General features: G+C 35.1%; 1 annotated feature.

Annotated features, from left to right (window-relative positions):
* Positions 12,167-12,377: a silencer, noted in NCBI's record as "fragment chr13:81300349-81300559 (GRCh37/hg19 assembly coordinates)". NCBI's record gives its function as "represses an EF-1alpha promoter that drives an FKBP-Casp9 reporter gene in an ReSE screen in K562 erythroleukemia cells {active_cell/tissue: K562}" and the evidence as "EXISTENCE:reporter gene assay evidence [ECO:0000049][PMID:32094911]".

Raw genomic sequence — 19,104 nt, 5'->3', positions numbered from 1 at the left:
TATTTATTGAAGAGATTGTCCTTTCCTTATTGTGTGTTCTTGGCATCTTGGCCAAAAATCAATTCACTGCAAATGCATGGATTTATTTTTGCGCTCTCTAATCTGTTCTATTGGTCTATGTATCTGTGTTTATGTCAGCACCATATTGTTTTTATTACTATAGCTTTGTAGTATATTTTAAAGTCAGACAATGTGAAGCTTTGCTATTGTTCATAAAGATTGCTTTGGCTATTCAAGGGTGTTTTTTGCTTCCTTACAAATTTTAGAATTGCTATTTCTGTTTCAATGAAAAAGGTCATTTGAATTTTGATTAGACTTGTGTTGAATCTGTAGATTGTTTTGGCCAATGTGGACATTTTAATATTAATTCTTCAAATCCATGAGCATGAATTTATTTCCATTTATTTGTGTCTTCTTCAATTTATTGTATCAATGTTTTATAGTTTTCATTGTATAAGTCTTTCACTTTCTTAATTAAATTTATTCCTAAGCATTTTATTTTATTTTATTTTAGCTATAGGAAATGGGATTGTTTTCTTTTCTGGATAGTTCATGATTAGTTTATAGATATGCTACTGATTTTTGTATGTTTATTTTGTGTCCTGCAACTTTGCTGAATTCATTTATTTGTTCTACTAGTTTGTTTGTTTTTTCATGGAGTCTTTAGGCTTTTCTATATATAAAATCATGTTTTTTGCCAACAGGGACTATTTAACTTCTTTCTTTCCAGTTTGGATGCATTTAATGTCTTCCTCTTGCCTAACAGCTCCAGCTAGGACTTCCAGTACATGTTAAATAGCAGTGGTGAGAGTGGGTATCTTTGTCCTGTACCAGAATATCAAGAAAAACTCTTCAAGTTTTCATCATGTCTGCTAGGCAGACCTAGAGACGGGCTGGGCCTGGTGCCAGGGCTGACCTGAAGGCTCAGTTCACTGATATCAGCCTGGAGTCTGGGGTTCTGAGGGCCTGCCTACTGCTGGGTTTTATTGGAATAGTTCAGTATTAAAATATAGGTAGCCCAGTGTTCACTTCTTTCTCTAAATAGGAAGGTATGTCTCTCCACAATGTTGTGCCAGGGTTTGGGAGAGGAGAGACATGGATAATGTAAAACTGTCCTTCATACCCTCTTCAATGTGTCTTTTCTGATTTTTATTCTACACCCAGTTGCTGTAATCTCTCACCTTGTCTCCCTGGCTCTTGTGAAGGTATTTTCTTGCATGGATACTTGTTTAAATTGATGTTTCTGTGGGCAGATGTGTACCAGAAGTCCTTTTCTGCCATCTTGCTGAACTTTTTTTCCCAAAGATTAATTTAGACACAGAATGAACTCCAGGAGTCAAACAGTTCCAACCCCATTCTTACAAATAAAAAGTGAAAATTCCAGAAAGATGACAGGACTTAGATCATAGAATTAAATGATCAGGGAAAAGATAGGTTTGGGAGATTTCTAGCAATAGTAAATGGAGACTGTCTTTCAGGTTGCAATAAGAAATGGTAAATGGTAATGTGGGAGGGGTGCAACAGTATCACTGTCCTGGAAAGAAGGGGAACTGGGTGAAGAATTAGGTGTGAGATCAGGGGGTGGCAAAAACATTTTACTTACAATAAAAGAATGGAGAATATATTAGATCACAGAAAGTCAGAAAGAGCCAGTGAAAATAATTACAATAAATTATTAAGAAATCAAATGTGGGCGGGGTGCAGTGGCTCACACCTGTAATCCCAGCACTTTGGAAGGCCGAGGCAGACGGATCACGAGGTCAAGAGATTGAGACCATCCTGGCCAACATGGTGAAAACCCGTCTCTACTAAAAATACAAAAATTAGCCAGGCGTGGTGGCACACACCTGTAGTCCCAGCTACTCAGGAGGCTGAGGCAGGATAATCACTTGAACCCAGGAGGCGAAGGTTGCAGTGAGCCAAGATCATGGCTGCTGCACTCCAGTCCAGTGACAGAGCAAGATTCTGTCTCAAAAAAAAAGCAAATGTGATAAGTTGGTTAATAATTTATTAAAATTTTTCTAATAAAAGGCAAGTTTTTCTAAAGTCTTGAGGAAGCACTGAACCCATTTTTACAGCTTGGGCATGCACAAAGTGTACAGCCAAGTACGTAATTACAGTTTTACCCATTTTCCTGAATGAAAAAGGACCAAAATAAAAGATATTAAATATAGTATATGAAATAAAGCATTTTTGGTCTATCATTTTTTAGTATCTGAGGAAAATATTTACCTGGCAGAGGCTAAAGAGTGGAAGGGAGAAGAAAGAAAATAAAAAAAATTTGGAGGTTCTACTTCAAAATTAGAAAACGCTTTATTTTAGTAATCATTTTACTTTAGAAAATATTTTATGTTGCAACATAGCGAGACCTGGTCTCTACAGAAATTAAAAAATAAATAGAATTAGCTGGACATGGTGATGCATGCTTATAATCCTACTTACATAGGAGGCTGACACATAAGTATCACTTAAGCCCAGGAGCTTGAGATCACAATGATGATGTGATCATGATGGAGCCACCACACTCCAGCCTGGACAACAGAGTAAGACCCTGTCTTGAAAAAAAAAGAAAGAGAAAAGAAAAAAAAAGAAAACATTGAAGTAAACAGAAATAAGTAGTGTGCTCAAAATAAGATATCAAAATGATCCCTTCTTACATCATTTCTCAGTTATTTATATGGTGAAACATGAAACAAAAATCTCGTTAAATTTTACAAGATGGAAGGTTCTGATAGCCACTCTGCCTCATCTCTTTTGTGCTCTATAGCGTCCTGTGGCCATGTCTACTACAGTACCTATCTTATTGTGTTTTTATTGATCACTTCACATATTTCGTGTGCTACCACTTACAGGACCCTTATTTTCCAAATCTTTGTTATTGTTGAGCATAGCTCATAGTCAGTATCTGACAATGTTAAATTATTAAAAGTGCCTTTTTTGTCATGAGAATAATACTATTATATAATATGCATATAATAATAGTTTGTCACATATTTACAATAAATGAAATGAGGTGGTACTGTCATGCAGAAAGATGCAAGTGGAAAACATTTTTCAAGTACTGTCTTCAGAATAAGATATTGCCAGAGCTTATGCAAGTGCTTTCAAGGTAGGAAAAGTAAATGAAAAGCACATTTTTCTCCCTAACAAAATTGCCAGTGGGTAAGGCAAAGGTTCAGGAAAACAGGAGATTTCTAATATATTAACCACCCGTTCAATGTCTGGCAGCAATTAGGAAAATAAACAGGATCCTGAGTTGAATTAACAGCACCAATTAAATACTGCAAGCACATTTATACCGATAACCAGTGGTGCAACATCTGGAAAGTTATTCACAAAACTGATGCCAAGTATTTCTGATATTCTCAAAGAAAACAAAACAAAACAAAACAAAATTAAAACTAGCAAATGGGTAAGAGATGTGAGCTTTGTACCAAAAAAGAACTAATTCTGACTTTTTCCACAATTTTAAACAAAAGCCAGGATAAAGTTGTTTTAAAGTTTAAAGGGTACAATTACCTTTTTAGTCTATTTTTGTAGGCAAAGAGCTATTTCTAAATATGGGCTAAGTCATAGAAATTCAAAATATTATATTTAAGCTAGATATAATAACCTTAGAAAATTGAAAGTGAGGTAAGGATATTGGACTTAATATAACTCATATTGGAAAATTTGACAGAAATGGTTTTGAATTCATAAAATATTTAGCATTTTAAGCAACTTTTTTCTCCAAAGGCAGGTTTTTAATATTTTTGTTTATAAACCAAATATCCACTGTAATAAAATAAATCTCCTTATATCTATTTCAGCTGCATATTAGCAATCCAAGTTATGTATATGTTGTATTAAAAAGCTTACCATTAATCATTTTTTGAAGTTTGGGGAACATTTCTCTATAGAGATTGCAGTAATTGTAGTTTGGTTCTCAAAATAGTCCTCAATGTTTTCTTTCCCCACCTCTGAAATATTGTGTTAATTGCCTTACTTTAACTACACCTAACCAACATATACATTTTTCCTAACTTGAAAATTAATTCCAAATTCTAATTTAGAAGGCTAGAAAGACCTTTCTATCTCACAAAAGAACTGCCATTCACCTCCCCCCAGAAGAAATATATTTAATTAAAGACAATCACTAAATTTACCCTTTAAAAAAAGAAAGGAACTACTTTAAGATATGTACTCTTTTACTGAAATGAAGAAGGGGAGAAGAAAGGGAAGATTGGGTGGGGGGGTCTTTTGGCTCAGACTTTCAAACACAATTGTTTATTCAACAAACATATACAAGCACCTTAGGTAACAACCCAAAGCAGGCATTATGTTACTCGGAAAAAACAAGGATGAATTAAATATGGAACATGTCTTCCAGGAAACTAGTACAGTTTGGGGATATGAAAGACATGTGCACAAATACTATGATATAAAATATCATGCCATGAACTTTAGCAGAGCAATGGAGGGTCTTACATGCTGGGCCAAAGAGATTGGCCTTTACCAATCTCTTTATACAGTCTATTCTGCATTAGTTGAGGGGCAGTGAAATGACAGTATCTGACTCAAACTTTAGGAAAAGTGTTTTAAAACCACAAGTAAAATGAAACGCAAAGGATCGGGTGGTTATTGAGAGAAACTGATGCTGGGTGACATGCCCTAAAATATTACTAAATAATATAGGCCAAACAAGACTATGTGCAGCATTGGATTTTTAAGATAAGGAGAAATATTTAAGAAACTTTTTGCAGACTTGACTAATTCTGATGCTAAACTCCACTAAATCATGTTGGAGAGCCAAACAGAATAAGACATTATAAGGCTTTCAAGTTGAATTTGGATAGATAAGAGGATGAAAATAAAAAGAGATGGGTTGCCTGGGAAACTTAGGTACTTAAGATTGTAGTAAATTGAGTTGATAGAGTTTTAGCTATATTCTTCATATTGAATGAGATTATGGGCAAGGAGAAGACTTGGGGAAATGCATGTGTTTAAGGAGTTAGGAAATAAAAGGTAAAAATTTTTTTTTAATGCAGTTTGTCAAAGCAGAACTTGAAGAGTGTTCCTTCATGGAAACCAAGGGGAAAGAGTATGTCACAGAAGGGCTGAGCACATAAATAGAATCCTGCAGAGTAGGGGAGGAAGACGAGAAATGAAAAAGAGTCCGTCGAGTCTTCAAATAGGACCCATTCATTCCTATGACATTCTTTACTTCCAAACTTGTCTGCATCTAATTTACTTTTTAAAACAGAGTTTAATCCTACCATCCATCTCACAGTAAGTTATCAGTTTTATTTTGTTGGTGAAATAATAATTCACCAGTTTCAATTAGCAAGCCTTTATTTCATGGGAATCTACCTCTGTGCTTCACAAGTTTCTCCAGCAAATTATTCAGTCTCTGGGATATTGCCTGGCCTGAAGAAATCACCAAATATTGGTATGTTGGATAAAATAAAGCTACTTGATAGGGGATTTGTTGGGGAGTAAGACTGAAAGGGGCTTCAGGAACTGTGAAGACTAAAGGGTGTATTTGAGCAAAGTCTGGACTTTATGCAGGTAGAATGTTTATTATTTATGATAATGAGAAGATTAAGACATGAGAGTGTTTAATAAAGACTTAAATGTAAAACCCCAAATTACAAAACACCCTAGACACCAACCTAGGCAATACCATTCAGGACATGGGTATAGGCAAAGGTTTTATGACCAAGATGCCAAAAGCAATTTGCAACAAAAGTAAAAATTGACAAATGGAATCAAATTAAACTAAAAAGCTGCACAGCAAAAGAAACTATCGACAGAATAAGCAGACAACCTACAGAATGTGTGAACATTTTTTACAATCTATGCATCTGACAAAGGTCTAATATCCAACATCTGTAAGGAACTTAAACAAATCTACAAGAAAACTATTTGACCCAGCCATCCCATTACTGGGTATATACCCAAAGGACTATAAATCATGCTGCTATAAAGACACAGGCACACTTATGTTTATTGTGGCATTATTCACAATAGCAAAGACTTGGAAGTAACCCAAATGTCCAACAATGATAGACTGGATTAAGAAAATGTGGCACATATACACCATGGAATACTATGCAGCCATAAAAAATGATGAGTTCATGTCCTTTGTAGGGACATGGATGAAATTGGAAATCATCATTCTCAGTAAACTATCGCAAGAACAAAAAACCAAACACCTCATATTCTCACTCATAGGTGGGAATTGAACAATGAGAACACATGGACACAGGAAGAGGAACATCACACTCTGGGGACTGTTGTGGGTTGGGGGGAGGGGGGAGGGATAGCATTGGGAGATATACCTAATGCTAGATGACGAATTGGTGGGTGCAGCGCACCAGCATGGCACATGTATACATATGTAACTAACCTGCACATTGTGCACGTATACCCTAAAACTTAAAGTATAATAATAATAAATAAATAAATTTAAAAACAAAAACCAAAAAAAAAAAATAAAAACCCTATTAAAAAGTGGGCAAAGCACATGAACAGGCACTTCTCAAAAGAAGACATACATGCTGCCAACAATCATACGAAAAAACAGCTTAATATCACTGGTCATTAGAGAAACACAAATCAACACCACAATGAGATACCATCTCACACTAGTCATAATGGCTATTGATAAAAAGTAAAAAAATAACAAATACTGGCAAGGTTGTGGAGAAAAAGGAACATATATACACTGTTGGTGGGAGTGTAAATTAGTTCAACCATTGTGGAAGTCAGTGTGTCAATTCCTCAAAGACCTAAAGACAGAAATACCATACAACCCAGCAATTCTATTGCTGAGTATATACCCAAAGGAATATAAATCATTCTATTATAAAAACACACGCATGTGTATGTTCATTGAAGCACTATTCACAATAGCCAATACATGGAATCAACCTAAATGCCCATCAATGATAGTCTGAATAAACAAAATGTAGTATATATGCACCACAGAATAGGATGCTGCCATGAAAAAGAATGAGGTCATGTCTTTTCAGGGACATGGATGGAGCTGGAGGCCATTATCTTTAGCAAACTAACACAGGAACAGAAAATTAAATGCCACATGTTCTCATTGACAAGTGGGAGCTAAATGAGGAGAACAAATAAACAGAGGGGAACAACACACACTGGGGCCTTTCAGAGGGTGGAGAGTGAGGGGAGGGAGAAGATCAGAAAAAATAACTAACGGTTACTAGGCTTAATACCTAGATGGTCAAATAATATGTGCAACAAACCCCCATAATACAAGTTTATCTATGTAACAAACCTGATTTGTATCCATGAACCTAAAAGTTAAAAATAAAATGCGAATGAAATAAGGTGGAGCTTTTGAAAGTAATATCACAAATTTTCTCAACATTACGCCAAAAGTCATTAGATTCCACTTCACTTGTTTAAATCTCTCAGTCAGATATGTTCACCTTGTCTTTATTTCACACAATTTTTCTAGAGTATAGAATTCCATTTTATCAAAGTATCACTTTTAAAAGTCAACAATTCCTTTAAATATTCCTGTGTTTTCAACTACAAATTGAAATGCTAAAAGATTTTACTAATGAAAATCCCCATACAGTAACATTGAAATTCTACCAAAAAAAACCTATGCCGATATATGCAAAATATTCATACACATTACCTAAGCCACAGTTAATAAAAATGTAAATCCAGTAAAAGTTTCTAATAATTCTGCTTAATTAAAATTTTACCCCTGTATAATGAATTATTAGGAAATACTGTATTTTCTTATTTCTTCTTACCAACACCTAAATGGCATGGTTCTCTCCTCACCTATGCCCCACTATTACCTTATTAATAAGTTATTTGTATTTCTGACAAGGTAAATTAAAACCAAGTTTTTGTGTTATTCTGCCCTTCTTTTCACCCTTAACCTGAACTTGGCATTATGACAATTGGAAAGGAGGAGAATTACGTCAGCTCTTCTTTGAACTTTTGAGACCCTTTCAATTTCCTCTGGTGCTTCATTCATCTTCAGTTACTTTCTTTGGCTCATGACGGAAAGTAACCAGCAAGATAGGGCAAACGAGTTATAAGAGATTTAACCTTGAATCATTAAAACCAACACTTGAGCTTCTAAGGTAAATTTCAGAACGATACATTAAATTCCAGTGCTTGGTACCAGTGATTTTGTTCTGACAAGCAAGAATATTATAACTTGGAATCTCCATAGTGCCTTTTTTTTTAACTTTTCTCTTTGAATTAAACACCTTTTTGCACATCTGCTCAGCTGGTAAGCCCTCTACAACAGATACTTGAAGTAGAAATTTTTCCTGTCCAAATTTGAGTGTTACCTGTATTTGTTGCCCAAGTTGTTCTGTGGATCGATATAAACTTCAACTGTGCTTCTTCCTATAAATCTCTCATTTCCTCAAATTTGAATATTTTGTGTAGTAAGTTAACTGTTATAACTTTAAGGGCAAATATTCTTCTGTGCAAATAGTATCCTTGTATTAGGAAAATTTTACTGCTAACCTCTTTAAATGGATGTCTTGATAGTATTTGTAAACTTCAGCATGCTTTTAAAATTGGCCCTCTTTCTCCTTTATTTAAAGGACAAACACGTTGCCATTGATCTTCTCTTTCTTTTCCCTTCCAGATGGACTGTTATTTGAGTGCAATATCAAATGTTTGACTTTGTGTAAAACAATGATCCGGTGCCTCACTAAGTTTTTTTTTTCCACTTTCCAAAAATCTCAACCATAGTTTTTGTTTCACTTACAAAGTTGCCATGTTTATTTCTGGTAGTTTTCCCTCTGTCTCTTATTAAACTTGACTCCAATTTGGGTGGTTCCATGAAGGATGAGTTTTGGGGTTTGTATTAACTTCGTTGAGTTTTTCCTCTACCTGATATTATTAAGGTAGAAAATTCTTCATGTGATACAGGCATGAGTTTCCATTTATCTTTGTTTGTTAACTAACTCTACTCCACTTCCTGTGGGTTAATTCATGCCCTGTGGCTAAAATCTGAAATCAGACTTACCTAATATTATTTGGGAGTCTTTAGCCAGGACAGACAACCACAGAAGCATCTCTGGATGCTCTGGAGACAAGGCAAACAGATTACTATGGTTAGAGTTTTCATTCTTTTCCATTTATCCCCTTTCTCATCCCTTCCTCACTGCCCTTCACCCCCACCCCACCCCCGACAAACAAACACACACAAAACAAGAGTTTATTTGGGAGTAATTTATAGAATGGTTCTCAGGGTGGTACAACATTAAGCCCTTCTTAATGTTTATCCTGCCAAAGCTGCCTTTTTTTGCTCCTGTAAGTTGGTGAAGATAGAAATGAAGAAGAGAAAAAGAAAGGAAGGAAGATTAGAGGAAAGGAAGGAAAGGGAAAAGAAATAGAATCTGGGCAGCCAGTCCTGTAACACTCAGATCTGTCTGACACTCACTGCCAATGTAAAATCTAAAATCTAAAAACATACGCATCTTTTAATGGGAAGTCATCTTGATCCTAAGAAAAAAATCTCCTATCACCACCAAATTTAGATTCTCATTAATTGGATATTTTGGTTTTAATCTATTTCCAACAGAAGGGTTTACCTTTGCAAAAGTAAGATATTGGCTTAAGATTCTGAAGTCCCTTTCACAAATCTTGTCAAAGCAAACCAAAGGTAGAGATGGATGGGCAGGATAAAAATCCTGGAGGTTCTCCACATCTCCTAATGATTCATGTGTGAAAAGCAGAGTAGATAGTCCAGGAAAATCATGCTATAATTATTAGTTTTGAAACCTACATGTGAGCAGCACAAAGTGATCTGTACTATTATTGCCTTAAATTCTATGCATTTTCCATCCTTGAGCCCTAGCAAGATTATAGAGAGAAGAGGTAAGGTCATTTTTTTTTTTTTTTTTAGATTCAGCCCGATCTTCCCCATCACACTGATAGACATATAAGTGTAAGCCCCAATCTTCCCCATCACACTGACAAACACATAAGTGTTACATAGATAAATTACAGAAAAAAAATGGAAATTTATGTACAAAACAATTCATTCTGTTTCTTTCTAAATTCTGATGGCTCATTCCAGACAATGGTGTGTTTTTCTTGGGTATTGTTCATATCTATGAAACAAAACACTTTAGGTAAATATGTAAAATAAAAAACAGTCTATTATATTTCTCAACTTGAGTACTCTGAAAATTTATTTCCATAGTAAAAATGGATGGAAATGAGGTAAGTATATTAATTTTAGTATTAATTTCACTCTTTCACTTACCAAGTCACTAGTGATAAATTCTTAATGTATGGTCATTCTTAAAGATCACAGAAACTGATAGGAGGAGTACACAAGCACATCAGATTAATATAAGGTAGAATCAATAATAGAAGCGTATCACACAGGAGCTAGAAAGTTATGTGCTTCAATCTCATTTTATAATAATAAAAACAAGATCTCAAATAATAACACTAACTAGTCATAGTTAAACCACTAATGAAGTGACCAAAGCTAGGGGTAAAGTCTGTCTTTTGACTTCCAGTCTGGTATTCTTTTCCATTCTATCATAAAAGAGGTATTATCTTGGGCTACATTTTTCTGTGCCTAGGAAATCCCTAACCTTAAGAGACCAAGAACACCTCCCACAACTGAAATTGAAAATGCAAGAAATTTTGTAACTTTCTAGGCAGGAAAGGCAAGAATGCATGAAATCAGCAGCCAGATATTCACCCTTCACGGATTTTAAAATAGAAACAAGTGAGGCAAGGAAAGCAAGGGTTTACAGACCTCAGTCTGGTAAGCCAGTGTCAGCAGTCACAGTCATGTCCTGGTTTTGACATAATTGTCAAGTGGTTCTGGAAGCAATGCCCACAGTCCATCTAATGACAGTGGGTTCACAGTGAAAACTGCAGGATTTGTGTCCACTGGTGGTGGCAATAATGTCTTCACAGAGCCAATTTGAAGACCTAATTTTGGGTGTGTTCAAGACACAGAGCAGAGAGGAAAGGAGAGAGATGGCCCAAGAATAAACAATCAAAGGTCATGCAACTTTCTGCCTCAGCCTAGATACCTTGTGTTTTCCTTGTCAAGCAGGTCTCAGGACACCTTTAGCCATAGGGCCTCCTATAAGCTGTAAATGGGTTGGAGTGTGTAGCATGAACAGTCATTAATTCCATCAGATCATGAGACATGGGACTTGGTAACAAGGGGGAGAGTTAGTCATGTTTTTTTCTTATTTTTTATGTTTATTTTCTTTTCAAATGTAAATTTATAAACTAGTTAAAAATTATGACTTCAAAAATAAGAGAAAAAAAATAATTTATATCTGGCTGTAAATATATAATGAATCTGGGTAGGATGGGGAATATCAAACTACTTTTTAAAATCCATAGTTCAGACTACAAACACTGAGATTAAGCAACTCAAATGTGTACTGAGTGTTTTATTTGCCATTTACAGAACTGTTCCAAGCAAATGACTTCCATGAATCCAACTTGCTTAAAATAGAAGTTTAAAAGATCTGGACCTTGAAGCAAGTCCTTGCTTTCTGTTGTGTTTTGTTGCTATGCACTGGTGTAAACAGTTGCTATGTTTCATGGAAGGTGTTAATGCCACATCTATTGGGAATTAAAACCATTCTCTGTGACAGTAATTGTTATACCTTCCAAAATAGCATCACTGTCTCCAACTCCTGTGGGATTTCTGAAAAAGTAATTTTTTATCTGAAAAAGTGTGGCTTTCCTGCTTAGAAAACTGGAGCCTTGAATTTCCCTATTTGAAATGAGTTTATATATTGGCTTTAACAGATCCTACCCATAGGAACACAAATTAGTTCAACTATTGTGAAAGACAGTGTGGCGATTCCTCAAGGAACCAGAAATGCCATTTGACCCAGCAATCCCATTATTGGGTATATACCCAAAGGATTATAAATCATTCTATTATAAAGATACATGCACATGTATGTTTATTGCAGCATTATTCACAATAGCAAAGACATGGAACCAACCCAAATGCCTATGGATGATAGACTGGATAAAGAAAATGTGGTACATATATACCATGGAATACTATGCAGCCATAAAAAGGAACGAGATCATATCCTTTGCAGGGACATAGATAAAGCTGGAAGCCATCATCCTCAACAAACACAAGAACAGAAAACCAAACGCCACATGTTCTCACTCATAAGTGGGAACTGGACAATGAGAACAAATGGACACAGGGACAGGAACAACACACACACTGGGACCTGTCAGGGGAAGGGGAGGGGAGGGAGAGCATCAGGACAAATAGGTAATGCATGCGGGGCTCAATACCTAGGTGACAGGTTGACAGGTGCACCAAACCTCCGTGGCACACATTTACCTATGTAACAAACCTGCACATTCTGCACATGTATCCCAGAACTTAAAGTAAAATTAAAAAAAAAAATAGATCAGTGAAAGCAAAATTTATACTAAATACATATATGATTACAATTATCCACACTTGTGCAAATCTGGTATCTTTCCCTTAAACTTTGATTTTTGTGATTTCAATTTTATTTAATGTCTTAGGTTTGGTTTTTAAAAATATCTTCTACAGTGCTTAATGCAGTATCTTGCATGTAGGTGTTTAATTATTAGCTAGAGTCAATAAAGTCTTGATATAAAATATCAATCCATTATCAAAGTCATATTCAACTACCATTTCATCAAATTTCCAGTTATGAGATGCTAAAACAATGAATATGATCAATGTTTGACAAGTCATATATTCAAATTTTCTACATTAGCAAGTCTAAGACATAACATGAACCACAAATCATGAATATTTGCCATCTTTTGTTCCAAAAGGAGTCTTCTGGAATTATATTGAATAAATTTGGATTCTACATTGCTCATTTAATAATATTCACCTTCGTTTTATTATTCTGGCTTTACTTTACCTATGTATAAATTTCAACGCTGTAGTGTTGTCTGTTGGATAAGTTAAGAAATATATAAATTGAAAATGATTTTAATAAAACAAGAGATCTTATTAAATATGTTAGGAATTTTATATATTTTGATATCCAAATTATACTTACCATAGTAAAAGAAAATTGACAAATACATAATAAAAATAGACATCTTATTAAATAAATTATTAAACAAAAATGGAAGTTAGAAGACAACATCATTTATTAAACCATGACTATTTCAAGCTGTTTTCCTCATATTATCAAATCATCCTTCTGAGTTAGGTGTTAAAAACATTAGGATATAATAGAAAAGGTATAAGTTCACAGTTTCACAACAGTAAGGAGTTGAGCAAGTATTAAAATGTGTTTTCACTCAACTGTGCCTTAGTGGTTTGCTTGCAGAATTTAATGAATATCACATATGGACAATACATATAGAAATTATTTACTGTCATTCCAACAATTCCACCACTTTTAATTTAGTTATGCTAAATAGAGTATAATATTTCATTCCCTAGTCACTTCGAGAGACAAAAGAAAATTATCTGTTCCCAAAATAACTATAAGAAGTGTGTAAGTTCCCACAAAGAATGGTCTCTATCTGAAATTTTGTAAGAATAAAGCTTCCTCAAGGAAAACATTCCCAGTTAAACTGGACTTGTGCTATTTTAAAATCATATGATTTATCCATTTAATACCATCTTTCTATGTGTTAAGTATGAAAAGACAAAGACTTGCTGGATGCGAGTCTGTCAGCACTCCATGAGCAGCTATAGGCCTTGACACTGTGGCTGCAGGGGCACAGAGTGACACAGGGAATGTAGAGGCCCAGATGCTAAATGGATAAGAATATTTTGGTTATCTTTTGCAGGTAGATATCACAAACTTATTTTAATCGATAACTAAGCTAGATATTGATGCCACTAATATATAATGAGCAGCAACTATATGTGAGGTCTTATGTAAATAATTCTCTAATCTTTCTTGTCTATTAGAGCTAGCAACTGACCAATAAGGAGCGGGCATGGCAAATAATAAAGATATATAATCATGAGAGCAATAATTGTAACCAGAAACCAAAGGAGCTTCACATATCTTGGCACCTGCCTGTCACTTTTTTAAAATTTCTTATTGTTTTAATTTTGTTTTTTAGAGACAGGATCTTGCTCTGCAGCCCAGGTTGGAATGCAATGGTGCAATCATGGCTCACTGCAGCCTCAAACTCCTGGGCTCCAGCAATCCTCCCATATAAGCCTCCTGAGTAGCTAGGACAACAGACGCATGCCACCACATCTGGTCAATTTTTCAATTTTTTGTAGAGACGAAGTCTCAGTATGTTGCCAAGGCTGGTCTCCAACTCATTGCCTCAAGAGATCCTCCTGCCTTGGCCTCCCAAAGTGTTGGGATTATAAGCATGAACCACCATGCCCAGCCCGTGTCACTCCTTACTTTCCACAGTGGTCCGTGCCTGCAGTAAGCACTTCTGCTGGATTCTCACATCCTTTCCCACAATGCTGTGCCCCTTCCTTAGCGTTCCTGGTCTTGAACTCTGCTCTAATCTTCCTCCCTCAATTTTTCATGATTTAAACTTCCAAATCCATCAGGATACTCCATGTATTACCAACAGAGATGGCGTTAGCATAGGCCAGACAACCCTTTTTTCATCCGGAAAAATAAAACTGTCTCAGAAACACACAGGAGTACAACTTCCACAGTTTTGAGTATTGGAGTCTGAAATGAGAACACATGGTGATCGAGGTTTGTGAGGATGGGACTGCCAAGAGTATTCCCTTTTGAGGTCCCTCCACCATTGTGTGGTAAAGGTATGTTATCTCCTATTTCCCATGGTCTACAGTTTTCACATTCTTGTCCTGGACACACACAGACACACATACACATACATACTAAAATGCCCATCACATAGGTATACATCTTCAAGAAACTTTTCTCCAAGACATTATGGTCAAATTAAGGTAAAAATGTCTTTCTCTAGAAGGCAATCAAGCCTTGGAAATTGTTCTTGCCTAAAAAGGTAGATGAGAATTTGTACATTTTTATAAAGGATATGTTTGTCTTCTTTCTGTATTAATAGCTACGTCCACATGACATATTAGTGCATAGAAACCAAAGTCGTTAAAGTGCCTGCTCTGAAGTCCTTTACTCAGCTACCCTAACCCATCCAGAATGCAAAATAAGTTGTGTTTGAGCTCTTCATTTTATTCCATTAGGTAATAAACCTTAGTATACAGGTTTTGATGCATACATTCAACATACATGTCGGTCTTCAGTTAAAATAACTTAGGATCACAGAATAGATTAATTTATTTATTCTCATTTATCTAACAAACCCAGAAATAAGATATTTGATGATCTCTTTCCAAATTACCTTTCTAGGTAATACTCTTAGAAAATTTCTTAAATTTCCTGGGACAAGCATGTAAGACTATTTTATATTCTAACTTTTCTCTGACTTCTTTTTCTAGCCTTCTCCTGCTCTGTGCCCTAGAATTATATTAATTCAAGTCTCAATTTCTTTTATGTAGTCTCCACCGTATCTAAATTCTCCCCCTTACTTTACAAAAAAGGCACTCTCATCCTGTGTGCCACCATGGAGGGTCTATCATAGCCCTAAACTATGATTTCACTTAGTTAGTGTCATGTTTTACTGTTGGGCTGTATTCTACCTGATTTCACAGGAAATGACCATTTTCTCCTTGCATTTCCAGGAATTACCACAGGGTCTAGCACATTATAGGTGTTCAATAAATGTTTAAAGAATAAATAATATTATATAATAAGTTTCAAAAAGTTTTCATATTCCTTTGCATTCATGAAAAAAAAATGGAGCTTAAAACAAGCAGGTAGTTTATATGGAAGCAATCTAAGGGAGAAAAAGTGAAGCAACAGGGCTAGTAAGACAGATTCAGGAGAAGAGTCAATACAAGGTTGAGCTTTTTACATCTTGTCAGCCGAGACCCACATAGAATATTTCAGAAAATTGTCCCTCCAAGCTTTCAGGCTGCATTTCCATGTGGGCTGAACAGAATCCTGAGAAGTACCTGAGGCAGAAAATTAGAGAAATATGTGTTGAGCATGTGATGTGGGATGCTATCAGCAAACATGGGATTTTTCTAATGCAGCTGCAGTTCACATCAGAGGTGGGCCTGAGGAAAATACATGAGGTATCAAAAGCACATGCTAAAATTTCATTAAAAATGGGGTTCAGATATCTTATTCAGATATGTGATGGCTTCTAAGTGCCAGGTATAAAACCATTGTTTCTATCTTTTCTTTTACCAACATATGTTGAGATGTTTACGTGTTTTCACAACACCAAAATGCAAGTAAACTCAATGCAAAGTTATACAGTCCTTTACCTAAATCAATTTACAAAACTATATTGAATATCTAAAATATTAATCCTTTCAACTAATTCTTATGCATTGTATAAGTGCACAACCAGAGATTGAAAATTGAATGTGGCTAGCTAAAGCACCTGGCCTGAGCTTGGTTTATAAAGCTCTCTAAACGGGACATTCTACTTCTAATATTATTGAATGGTTTGAATAATTGCATTAGATTTGTATAAAGTAGTGTCAGTCAATCTTTTATTTAATCACTGCCTAATACTCTTCATAAAATTCAGAAAATAATGTGACATATATTTTTTTAAGATTAACCACATCCTCCCTTTGTTAAACAAATTTGAAGCTCTACATTTTTTATGTTTTATTCTGCAGGAGTAAAATAAACCACATTCTAGGCATCAAGACCTATTGAATATGGGTTAAATTGTTCTCTGGGTTCTAATTATATTGACTACATAAATATAATATACATTGTGTTCCTGAGAGCGTATCCTATGCTATTATAAACATATAAACAGCAATAGCATAATTGGCTCACAATATCCTATGAAATCAGAAGATTTCATCTAAACTTCAATGAATCATGCTTTCTTTTGTAATTGCATAACTAATTTAAGAAGCATAGATCTAGAGGATAGTTTTTTCAATTCAAAATACATCTTGTTTTCAGAATGGGAGATGGATGATGATAATGCTCTTTGCTTATACCAATTATCCCACAGGTTTTCTTTCTCTGGTTTGCACAACTGAGAAACAAATCTATCAGGTAGTTACCTAAGAACTATTCCCACCTTATTCCCTTCTAATTTAATTCATTATCCTCCCTCTTTTGCAAAGCCAGGGTCTTCACACACAATGAGAATATCCCCAGACTCAGAGAGTAAACCATGACTCTTTTAAGTCAATACCAATGTTTCTTTATTGTTACCTGCAATTAGTTTGGCCTTGGACATGTGAAAATATAATAAGCAGATTTTTGTTAATCTTATGCATTGTCTGAGTCTTGTAGAAGGAAGCTATAGTGAAGTATAGTTCAAAGTAATTCTAAACCAGAAGAAATTAGAAAATACTAAGAAAAATTTAAGCCAGAACGTTGGAGAAAAAAAAGATATCTTTCAACTGTAAAATACCAATAAGTTTTCCTATGCTATTTTGCATTGCCATTTATTTTCTCTTTGTTTAGGAATACTGTCTCTCAATGACTCTATTATCCATAAACAAAAAAGTACAATGAGGAAATCAATATATCACAGTCTTGAACAACATAGAGGTAATGTTTAAATTATGTTGAAAAATATCTATCTTCTCCCAGATAAACTTTTGCATTTTGGAAACTCTCTTCAGATCTGGAGTTGCTTCAGTGAGTAATGTTGACCTTAAACTTAAGGAAGTCAGTAGACTCTGTATTTTAAAGAAGGGTTCAGGAGAAGTTACATAGCAAAGACCATGATGCTTTATAGCAGTCCTGGGGGAAAGACACTACCAACTTGCCCAGTGAATCTCTTTATCCTTTTGGCAAAGCCCAGGAAATCAGAGTGGAGATTTGGCTTCACCAATTTTCTAACTAAAATACGTGAGTTATAGAAACCTAAAGCTTTTGATTCAAAAGAGAAATCGTTTCCAAGCTCTGATCTCCTACCCATGGATTTGTCAGGGAAACACAATATAACATTTTTGAAGTTAGGAATTAATTTTCAGTAGGAGTTCTAATAAATTACGTATCTCTGTACAAATATATTACAATTAATAACAGTTGATCCTAGTTAGGATAATGGATTGTAATCAAAGATTTATTCATCTGAGATTAGAAAAATTTCTAATCTGAGAAGACCTTAGGGATTATACTGCCCAATGCTGTAATTTAATGAATGAAGAAATTGCAATCAAAGAGTTTAAGTGATTTTCCCAATGTCAGACCTAAAGAGTGTCAGAATCATGACTAGAACCTATTTTTTACCACTTAGTCTTATGCTCCATATATTAAAACATCCTACCTCTTGTTTTCATAATCATCAGTAAATGATTGACTCATTGATTGAATCATTAATGATTGAATCATTGATGGCTCAGGGTACATTTTTACTTGTGCATTTGTTATATGAAAATGGCATGCTTAATTTCAGAACCCTAAAATGAAGTGTTCTCTCTGAAGTGAAGAAATAATCTGCACTGATATCTTGTGGTTGTTTCCTACCAACAGGATCAAAAACATCTTGTGATACGGTTTGTTTTTGGATCTGTGTTCCCACCCAAATCTCATGTCAATTGTAATCCCCAGTGTTGGAAGTAGGGCCTGGTGGAAGGTGATAGGATCATGGGGGTTGGATTCCCCCCTTGGTGCTGCTCTAGTGATAGTGAGTAGGTGCTCACAAGATCTGGTTGTTTAAAAGTGTGTAGCACGTTTGCCATCTCATCTCTCTCTTTTCCTCCTGTTTTAGCCATGTGAAGATGTGCCTGCTTCCCATTTGCCTTCCACCATGATTGTATGTTTCCAGAGGCCACCCCAGACATGCTTCCCGTATAGCCTGTGGAACCATGCACCAATTAAATCTCTTTTCTTTACAAATTACCCAGTCTCAGGTATTTCTTCATAGCAGTGCAAGAACAGAATATCTTGTTTCTGATTATGTAAAGTTTTATTAAACAGGCTTATCACACAAGTTTTTAATTAGTCTTAGAGTGAATGCAATTATTATGTATTTTTCTTGTTTACAATAAACATATTGTTGCAACATTTACAGATTTTCTAAAGAACGATCTTTTCCAAAACTCTAATAATATAACATGAAAATTGTTACTGACCAATGTTC

The sequence above is a fragment of the Homo sapiens genome, chromosome 13 (assembly GCF_000001405.40).
Source record: "Homo sapiens chromosome 13, GRCh38.p14 Primary Assembly".
Taxonomy (NCBI): Eukaryota; Metazoa; Chordata; class Mammalia; order Primates; family Hominidae; genus Homo; species Homo sapiens.
This window is presented reverse-complemented; position numbering and strand designations above follow the sequence as displayed.